This window comes from Homo sapiens, chromosome 7 (assembly GCF_000001405.40).
Source record: "Homo sapiens chromosome 7, GRCh38.p14 Primary Assembly".
NCBI lineage: Eukaryota > Metazoa > Chordata > Mammalia > Primates > Hominidae > Homo > Homo sapiens.
In genome coordinates, this window is record NC_000007.14 from 25,219,515 (window position 1) to 25,230,336 (window position 10,822).

Below are 10,822 nucleotides of genomic sequence, written 5' to 3' on the forward strand. Positions count from 1 at the left end.
CATAGTTATCATAACAATTAATAATTACTATTATTTTTAAGCTGGGAGGAGGGGATTCAAAGATGATTAGAACAGTCTAGTGCAGCAGTTTCTAATTAGGGATGACCCCCCACTCCACCCTCAGGAGCATTTGGCAATGTCTGGAGATATTTTTGGTTGTCACAGTAGGGGAGCGATCCTACTGGCCTCTGGTGGTTAGAGGCTTCCGATGCTGCTAAGCATCCTACGATACACCAGGAAGTCCCCACAACAAAGAATGACACAGTCCCAAATGTCCATACAACCACTGTTAACCCTGGTTTAGTGAAGAAAAACCATTAAAATATGTTCCATATTTTCTATAACAAAGAAGTCACCTCGTATTTGGTGAGGGGGACCCGTCAAGTTGTCCGCTTGATATTCATGCTCTTTTTTGTGTCATAGTGATTGGGACAATGCGCCTAATGGAGAAATGACATTTCCCAGTCTCACCTGCAGAGTGGAGTGATCACTTACATGAAAGAGGAAGTAGTCAGATGGTGCTCTTTATTTATTTTATTTTAAATTCTGGGATACATGCGCAGAACATGCATGTTTGTTAGGTAGGTATACATATGCCATGGTGGTTTGCTGCACCCATTAACCCGTCATCTAGGTTTTAAGCCCCGCATGCATTAGGTATTTGTCCTAATGCTGTCCTTCCCCTTGCTTTCCACCCCACTGGATGGTGCTCTTTAAATAGGCTTTTTTTTTTTTTTTTTTTTTTTTAAAAGAAGGAGTCTTTACCTGGCCCCTTTGTTTCTACTGCCTGGAAAGGGATGTGCCGGCGTGGTGGAGTCATGTACTTAGGCCGGTGCAGCAGCAGGATGGGAGGGTTTGGATCTTGGATGAGGGTGTGGAATTCCCATGGCAGCCCAGAACTGCTTCCTTCCCAATCATTTTGTGTGAGGAGAAAAAAAGTTTCTCTTGGTTAAAACAGTATTATTTAGGTTTTTATTATATGCAGCTACATCCAAATTTGACCTGTGTTTCAAAGGATTTTGATCGGTAGAAAAGAGGCCTTTGAGCTGAAGGAATTAGCAGGAATGAAGGCATGGAAATGTGAAAGTGCATGTTTTCAGGAAATAACTTGTGGATTGGTGTGTTAATTAAGTAATAAGAAAACTCTGGTCACAGAGCCTCACATAAAGTCCCCAAGAAGATCTTCAAGGGAAAAAAAAGAATAAACACACGGAGGGCAACACACTCACCTTCCTTGTCCATTTCATTTTGTCGGTCACAGTTAGGTGAACACTGACCTTTCATTTTTCTCACTGAGAAATTTGTCCCAGAGTCAATACATTTTTTTTCCTTTGTGTATTTCTCAAGGTCGTTGTCATAGTATGATGTATGAAATGCAGACCTGGGAGCACGTGAAAGCCGCCTTCCATGAAAACCCTTGCTGTGTGGGGTGTGTTCCATCCCGCGTCCCCCTGAAGCCCCACACTCTGCTCTCTTCACAGGCCAGCTGAAGCTTGGGTTAGGACCAGTCCAGATGGAATTTCCTTGGGAAAGGGAAGTGTTGGAAGAGAAGAGAAAAGTGGAATGGATACTGGGAAGGAAGTACCTGGAAAAGCACATTAAGGAGAAGAACACAATTACCACCTCACTTCTATTTTATGCCACTGTCAATGCCAGTATTTGGAGGAAGTTCAAGCTAAATTACTGAAATGATTTTGATTGTTCCGGCATTATGTTCTCAACACCTAAATGGCCAATCAGATAACTGTATTCATCTGTAAGTTGGATTAGATATTAACTTAAAATAATTCTAGCCATAATCTTTTATTATAGTGATTCTTAAACTTTATGGATTACAAACCGCTTTGAGAATCTCCACAAGCATTATGAACTCTCTCTCCACAAAAATGTATATATACGCTTATTGATTCAGAGAAAACATCATTTTAGCAGCCGTGAGCACTCCTCTTAAGGAGAGATTCATCTTTGTTGCAAAGGATGTGAAAAGTGAAGCTTTAACCAAAACCACCAAAACTGATAGACATATAATTCCAAAGTCAGATCACTATTTGCAGACTTTCTGAAGGATGTGGTTGGAAACTGGTTCCACCAATGCTCATTTCCTTCACTCACTTGGAGACAATAAAAGGATAAGATTTGGGTTCAGGAGAGATTCCTTTGGAGAGAGTTGTTACCTCGCTGTGAGCTGAAACCTGTGTCCATGCCCAGGGGTCTGGAATTACTGTGTCCTCACCCTTCATCAGGGAGGGGCTTCCACATGATGAGGAAATGTATTCTATGAGGTTGAGAAAAACAAAAGCCAAAAAGGCTGAAGAGCCTGGGGGCAGCAGGACAGAGGAGCCATTTGGGATCACAGCCAGGTGTGGAGGGTGAGCTGCGCACAACCAGACACAGGCTGCAGCAGACAGAGAGTTACTGGAGATATTTCAAGTCCTACTCAAGAGGACCCCAGAAGAGAAATAGGCATGTATGGAGTGGATGCCCATGCCCCAGGGCTGAGGGCTGAGGCCACTGTGGGGCCCGGAAGATTTCACAGGATGACAGAATGGCAGGGAGAGTGTCCGGTAATGGTCGGCAGTGCCATCCCCTCATTCCTGAGAGTGAGTCCATCCAGGTGAGAACTGTCCCATCCCCTCTCCTCTCATCCCAAATTCTCTTAACTCCCAGTGGAGTCCAAAAAGGCAGCCAGGGAGAGAAGCGGCAGATGAGGGTGGAAGAGAGAACGGAAGCCAACCACAGTCCTGTCTCCAGACTCAGGCCTCAGCATGGGAAGGGTGCAGAATGAATGTATGAACAGCTGAATGCAGGCTGAAAGGTTGATGACAATGGAATTGAGACTGTGTTTTTGACTCAGAGAGGCCAAAGGCTTAACATTACTTAAGAGAGAGGTGAAGTTCATGGCATCTGGCCAAGTTTCCGTTGAGGGTCAGAGGAAGATTTCTGCACACCCTCTTCCCCATCCCTTATATTAGAAAGGGGCAGTGGGACACAAAAATAAATTTGCATTTTGAGCACACTTCATGAGTCACGCAGTTGTATTTTATACCCACTGTAGGATGAAAGCAGACCTCCCAGGCCTGCATGAAGCTGGCTTTTGGGTCTGATGTAGAAAATGGAAGCTGCTCTGATTAATAAACATGGGTGGCGGGGAATGGGATGTTGTGGGATCCAGCAGGGCTGATTCTGGGGGAAGCAAGACAGGCTGCATGATATGCAGGGTCCAGTGCAAAGTATAAACGTGGGGCCCCTTGAAATACTTAACAAATTCAAGACAGTGACAGCAGAGCACTGAGCCAAGTGTGGGGCTTTGTGTGACTGCAGGGATTGCACACCCATGAAGCCACTCTGGAGTGAGTAACAGAGGTCAGAGAGGAGGGGAGCTTGCCAGGGGTCCAGTTAATGAGAGAGCCGGAAGAGGCCTGATGGAGACTTTCCCAGTGAAATGCTGCACCATGTGATCTTGCAAATTCTCTGCAAAATCGCAAGCTCCACATTGAGTTACGTGAATGGGGTTCTTATGGAAGCTGGTGAAGAAGCCGGTGTGGTGTCACAACAGAATAAGCCAAGCAGATGAGGGGACAGCCAACACTTTGCTATTCAGCTAACATTTCTCATAAATTAGGGGCTTAGGTAAAGAATCCATTTCTATGACAAGAAATTTCCCTGTGTCACATAATCTCGCGGGACCAGGTGATCTTTTATTTATTAGTGTAGCAGGACGTTGCAGGATACTCTCTCTGTCACTCAGAATTGGCAACTGGGGACCACATCTGGAGGTGTACAGAGAGGCTAAATACTTTAGCAGAGATGCTAAGCAAAGAGAACCATGGATGGCAAGAGCCAGACACCTGCTTGTGGTTTGCTAAGACCCGGCAGAGCCACAGCAGCCCTCCCTGTCTTGGCTGTGCCCTTCCAACATGTACAGTTATGAGGGTTTGCCTTGGAGGGGGTCTGCTGCAGCTGCTGCTCCCCCAGGAAGCCAAGTAAGAGGCATTCCTAGAAAACCACTTCTAGAGTATGGGGTTTTGACAGGCGCCCTGCATGCTACTTTTGACTGGCTGCTTGCTTAGGCAGTAGACTTATGACCTGCCTGCCCCCTCCCAAACAGGGGCAGAGGGGTGGAGACGACGGCGGGCAGTGGAGGGGCAGCCTGCAGTCCGCCCTTGGTCTGGCTGGGGGGATGTCTGCATTTTCTATGCTCCAAGCGGTCGCTGGGAGGGTAGCTGGCTTGAGCCTTTCTGTCTGGCAATAAAAACTATGGGGAGAACAGATGAGACGGGGGTAGTTGGAAGAGATCAAGTAGCATCCAGAGCCCCCAGGTAGGTGACCTGTGTGAAGGCCCCTGCGAGTCTTCCCGAAGAACGCTCCTGTAGAAGCAGCAACTTTATATAGAGAGGAGGAGACCGCTTCTCTTGACCACCCCCACCATCCCAATTCCTCCCTTGCCCTGGAGAAGATAGGAGGGGAGATTGTTTTTCAGAGCCTACCATGTTCCCTCCCAGCACCCTACCTCTGAGGTGAGAAAGGGGAGGAAGACAGAAAGAGCAGACCTGCCCCTTTCCCACTTTAGGCCCTTCCACCAGCCCAGCCAGCCATGGAGGTGGGTGGGGACACTTTATTTTTGGATATGAGGTTGGAGTCTTCAACTGGACTTGACGAAGTTTTTTAATACCAGGAAGTGACCGAGGGAGTTATGCAGTATGTCCAGGGTAGCATTAAGGGACCTTTAATCAGCAGGGGCGGGAGATTCACCACAGCCCAGCGCGGGGCACACTGGGAGAAAAATAAAACCATTTCCTGTGTGCACCCAGTGGGGTTGAGACTGTTCAATAAACTAGCTATATCTGATGAAGGACTTCATATCCTTAGGGTTAAAGGAAAGTCACTGCATTGTGTTGTGGTGTACTGAATTTATAAATTCTTAGTTGAGGAATAGCCAGATCTTTTTGCAAATCAAAAACTTGAAATGTTAAATGAGGAGGAAAGAAACTCACTAGAGGCAAATTTCTGGATGTAGATAGAGGAGACACTAAAAGAGGTAACTCATAGTTGCCTTTTTCTTTTCTCCCTAAAGTCTAAGAGTTTTTATTTTGTAGTTTTACACAGACATTTACATTTCAATTGATCACAGATTCATTAACATTTGACACGATAGAAAGGGTGTACAGAAACACGTTTGTAAGTGATTTTTAATCCTTGTTCACTTATTTGTCAACCATGTTATTCTGGCATACTATTTAATTTCCATCATAATGTTTTTCAGGGTGCTCTTCTGTTTAATTTTTTTTATTAAGTGTAACTGTGCCAATGATTTTTATATAGGGTAGTGAGGAGGGTCCTCTGTCTCTCTCTCCATTATCAGAGATTTCTAAAGCATTTGCAATGCTTTTTTTTTATTCAGACAAAAATCATTTTAACTTTACGTAACAAATATGCTTTAATTTTTTTACAACTTTCAAGATACTATTATAGCTGTACTGACAAGGAAAAATTGCCGTTGATGATCCATAGCTGATGAAGTGTATGTAGCTACTCTTCCGTGTGGTCTTCGCTATAGAGCCATTTGTAGATTACAGGCCACAGCTTTAGGGACAGGCTCCAGGTTTCTTATTTTTCTTGTTTCAATTCTGCATCATCTATTTTCTTGAATAGCAGTCTCCTAAAATGTAAGCAGTATAAAATGTTGTCACCCATCAGAACAACAGCATGCAAGTGTGTATACAAATACAAGCCATAGTCCTAACTGCCTAATTATACTTGAGTTGAATTGTGTTGCACTTGAAATGAGTGAGATATTGGGGGGATGCTGAATCTGTGATGGGCACTCAGTCCCAAACACTTATCATTGATTCATCTCTCTCCCTCCACACCGCCCCACTCCCAACATCTGATTAGCTGTCAATTCTGCCTCTGTATAACATCCCACAACCTCAGCAGAAATGTCAGTGGTTCTCCCTCTCCTGATGAATGACGCCCCAAGTCCTTGTCCGGGTCCTCAATATCTGCGCTCTCTGCTCTTACTCTAACGGTCTAGACTTCTTTCCTCTCTTCTTCACATCCTTTTTGCTCTTGCCAAAGGGCGCCTCGGCTGTTCTTGGCTCACCTTGCTTTAGTGCCTAAAAATGACCTCCCTCTTCTCACCAGTCTCCGAATGTTCAAGAGAAAGCTGCTTTTGAAAGGCAGGTTTCCACATACAGAAACACTCTCTTTTTTTCTGACCCTCTGCAGGACCTTATTAGTGCCTCTCTTATTTCATTCATCCCGTCAGATATTGAGGGCTTACTATGTGGTAGACACAGTTCTTAGGCTCTGGGCATATGGCAGTGGACAAAAATTATGGGATTTGTAGGACTGAAATTCTAATAAAGGCAATGAACCCTAAATATATGTCAGATGGGATAAGTACCATGGAAAAGAACAAACCTGGAGTGTCCTGAGAAGGTCTCTCAGATAAGGTGACACAATCTGCCACTGTACTTTCTTCAGGTCTTAACTAAAGCATCATGTTCTACTTCATATAAAAAAAATTTTTTTTAAGCATACGCTCTCTACTATAAAAGAACAGGTAGGTAGGTTATTAATTTTTAAATCTTACATTCTGATGTGTACATAGGAGATAATACATATTTCTTAATATAAATAATGATTATAACAGAGTTTATAAGATGAGATCCAGATAAAAGAAAACACTTTGATTAAAAGTTAGGAAAGAAAACCTGCTGCATTTGAGACCTAGATTATTGAGATGGGGTCCTTTGCACCTGAACAACTCTCTCCCATGAGACTTTTTATGTGGGAGAGGTCCAGCGTTTAGACAATATACTGTCATTGCATGGACTTAGTGAGCAGCTATAGGATAAGGAGATTGATGCTTATATGTGGCTTAGGGGAAGCCATCCTATGATTTTATACCTTGAGCCATGCTTATTATACCTGGCCTTCTATAGTTCCCAATTTACAGGTATTTAGTTCCTTGTGTCTTTGCCTCTCTCTCCTGCTAGGAAACTTACTGTCTTAGAAACTTATGTTGAAAAGATGTAGTCATTTTTAAAGTTTCTAGACCACCTCTATATAACTGCCCATGCACTTTGACTGGTTTCCAGGTATTTACCTTGACTGTTTTTGATCGGGATTCTGGATTTCTTGGTGCTGGCAGGTCATGGAGTAAAATAAGTCATTGGCACATGGTGAATGCATGGATCCTTGACACAAATCACTCAGCATCCTGCAGACACTTTTGGCTGTTGTTGTTCTCCCAAACCTTTGGGGCAGGTTAGGAACACGTCTCACGAGGCTCACCTCCATATTTCTTCCAGATCTCAGAGGCAGGTTGGCTGTTGCTCCAGCACTTCTTTCTTCTTGAACGTTCCTCCCAAATCTCAATGGCAAGTTGGCGAAGGAGTGTGGCATTTTATTGACTGCAGGTGTACTCATCTTAATAACATTTTTTGGTCCCCAATCTTTTAATTCCTCAAAATTGAGGCTTCTTTCCCCTTTTGGGTATCCTCTAGGCTATAATTAGAAATGACCATTACAATAACATACTGTTGTTATAAGCAACAGATTTAAACCCCCAATTAACTTAAATCTAGACTTTAATCTGCAGAATTGTTAAAGCTATAAACAAAGTTTGTGTTCATATGTGCAGAATTTTTAAATGATTTGTATTAAGCTTTTTAAAGCAATATAGTTTCTCTGTCCCTAGACTATTGTAAGACAACCATAAAATATTTATAAAATATATATAGTGAATACAGCAATGAGTTCAAGCAGCAGGAACATAATGAAGTACTGAAATGTGGCAAAAGTTTATTTTACTGCAGTTATTCTCTTTTGGTTTTTTTGATTCATGTTGCTTATGGAATATTTTATATATTTTTATAATTTGATTTTAGAGAAACCTCCCACTCATTTTTCATGTTTCTCTTTAAAGGCCAAAGTGGCACATGGAAACACGGTACATCAAAACAGAGATGCTGGCCAGGTTTTGGGGTATAGTTGTAGAAGGCCCAGTGGATTTCTTTTTTATTCTATCTTACTCAGGGTACCACTCTAAAGCTTTCTCAAGAAACCAATTGCATTTTTATTAGAATATAAAATACATTTTTAGCAAAGAACTCATTGGTTTATGGGTTACTGCATCACAAGTATGCCAACTTTGTAGGAACCATCTCAAATACAGAGAATATTTAATTAGATTTAGTCTTTACCATAGGAGCTTGTCCATATGGAAATTTTTAAATGATTGTTTTCTGATTATCCCTTGAGTAAAATGAGTATACACGCTAATTTCATCAGATTTGGAAAACACATAAAAGAAAATAAAAACAATTTGCAATTTTACCATCTACAGGTAAACACTTTACTAAGATATAGATTTAGTACACATTGGCCAGTTTGTAATTGCTAAGCCCAAAAGAAATGTGTTTTTTGTTTGTTTGTTTGTAGTTTAAAACAATTTGAATGTCCAGCTGAAATGTACCCAAATCTTATTTCTGCCAACCATTTATTACAAATATGCACTTGTGAGTTGATTGAAAATTATTAATGCGCTGTATGCTTGCTAAGTACCATACTCACCAGTACAATTGTCATGACAGAGGCCAGCCTGATTGCTGTCGTGCTAAATAAACAAGTGACATTTATACATTGTCAGAGGAAGGCTGAAATTTCACAAAAAAACAGAGTACACACCAACTTACTTCTTAGTCTTTACAAAATCATTAGACTTAGGATTAATATTATGTAATTAATGCTACTCACATTAGAGAGATTTAAAAAACTTACCTCAGAATATTTGTCATAATTTTCTTTGCTGTGAAGATTGGACATCACTAATTCATCTGCACAAAAAATGTTTGATGTTAACAAGCTTGAAGTGGCTAAAGTCAATAAAATGAATAGTTTTGATGAAATAATTTCCATTTTGTCTAAATCTAAAATTAAGTCTCTATGTGCAGCCCAATGTTTATGAGAGGAGAAAAAAATTGTGGTGTTTTTATATCGTCTAAAAACAAAGGAAAGTTTTTTTTAAACAGTGAAATCAATCTCACACATTTTAAGTACTAATATTAATTAGAGTGTACAACTAAAATATGCATGTAAGGAATGTGAATAATTCATTCTGGGAAGACAGCAATGTTTGTGCTTGCAAATTCATTAACTTTGAAAATAATTTTCCTCATTATAAAAGAGCTTCTAATTAGGTAAGTTTGGGGGGATAGTAATTAAGATTCCAAACAGACAGAATGCTTCATTTCTCTAAGCTTAAACAAAAAGTATTTTGTTTTTGGTGTTTGTGTCAATTCTTGAGGGAAGGAAAAGGAAGTATTCAATCCATGCTAGCTATGTTTTTTTTTTTTTAATCTGCACAAAAGAGTTAGGCGTAGTATTTTCAAAATGTCAAGCAAAATTAAGAATGTGAAAAAAATTATAATATCCCAACAAAATGCCATGAATTAGTTTTTTTGTAAAATGCTGTTTGGTTATTAAAAAGCTTCAGGGGTCAATGTTAGCCGTAACATGAAGGATGTGTATATGAGCAAATACTTGATAGGCATTTTGACAAACTGGCGTCTCAGGAGAAGCTGGAGGCAGTCAGGCCCTCTGTATTTGCTCTATGGGTCTTATTTGGTAAAGCTGTGTCAATCACCAAAACTTTCTATCAAGATGCTGCATCCTACCTTCCCTCTCAAAGTCCTTAGGGAGACTAGCAGGGGCTTGGTAAGTCATACACATGCTAACTCTATTGGTCCCAGGACGCATATTATTTAGGTAATCGCGTATTGCCAAAGGTGTGCTGTCATCATGACATTAAAAGAGAATTTACAGAAATAAATGCGCATTTACTGAAATGCCAAAGCGAATCTCTTTTGGAGCAGCTGACTGTTCTTAAATATCTGCCTTATCACTAGACTGCCTGGGTTCTAGAGACACCTTTACTTGTTCCCACCAGTCCCTTCAGCCCTTTCAGGAGAAAAAGACTTGCATGGATTTCCTACAGTCCAGCTACTTCTAGACACAGACAGTTAGAGGTAATTCACAAAGAGTTGTAAAATTGCTCTGTTGTGTCTAGAACTGTGCCACCTCTCACCTCTCTCACCAACCTACCGTATGTAATTTGAGACGTGAGATGGCAGAAGTGAAGATCTTTCTTCATATTGATCTCCAGAACAAGCCAGAAAGTTGAAAAACCACAGTGGGTGAACTCTTGTGATACAAACTTGCCTATGGTCTCTCTTAAGGCATTTGACATCATTGGCTTCATTTGTTTTGGTTTGTAGTAGCCAAGAACCCCACAGTAGGAGGCAATTAATTCAATTCATAGTCTATCGTTAATTTTGTAATGCCATTATTGGATTATTTGGGTTTAATTTCCCTGAGGATTTAATACATTTCTCTTCCAAATTGTTCTTTTGCAAACTGCTGATGGAATTTCTTTGTGTGTGTGTGTGTGTGTGTGTGTGTGTGTGTGTGTATGTATGTGTGTGTAGTCAGTAGATCCAAACTTTTGAGAAATGAATGAATCAAGGGGCAAGTTTTGTTGACTGAATTCACACCCCAGAAAAAGCAGAAGGCATCAGCCTGAGTCTTTTTCAAAATGTATTTTTATCTAGTTGTCATTTTCAGATAAAATGCAAATTAAGCAGCTCACCAGTTTTCAGTGCTGCTACTAATGGGTGTTGGCAGATCCATTAGAATTTTCCTGATGACAATCAGCATACACATATGACTTAATTGCTCCCTGCCTCCACCAGGTTAGGACTCCACGTTTGGAAGGTAATTAGAATTATCTTATTAATATGGGGCTTGGGCCAGGCAC

General features: G+C 41.1%; 1 protein-coding gene across 1 annotated transcript; it reads right to left on the bottom strand.

Moving 5' to 3' along the window:
• Nucleotides 1–5,055: 5,055 nt before the first annotated feature.
• Nucleotides 5,056–8,972, bottom strand: NPVF (neuropeptide VF precursor). The gene is made up of 3 exons (NM_022150.3): nt 8,788–8,972; nt 7,112–7,512; nt 5,056–5,659 (listed from the first exon to the last, which is right to left on the bottom strand). Exons 1-3 carry the CDS (start codon nt 8,923–8,925, stop codon nt 5,608–5,610), a joined length of 591 nt encoding a protein of 196 aa, NP_071433.3. The 5' UTR covers nt 8,926–8,972; the 3' UTR covers nt 5,056–5,607.
• Between the last annotated feature and the right edge of the window lie 1,850 nt (nt 8,973–10,822).

Coding starts and splice junctions, on each gene's coding strand:
- NPVF (NM_022150.3), bottom strand. CDS start 8,925: ATGGAAATTATTTCATCAAAACTATTCATTTTATTGACTTTAGCCACT. Junction 7,513..8,787: donor ATTATGACAAATATTCTGAG/GTAAGTTTTTTA, acceptor TTCTAATTATAG/CCTAGAGGATACCCAAAAGG. Junction 5,660..7,111: donor CCCGATCAAAAACAGTCAAG/GTAAATACCTGG, acceptor CTTACATTTTAG/GAGACTGCTATTCAAGAAAA.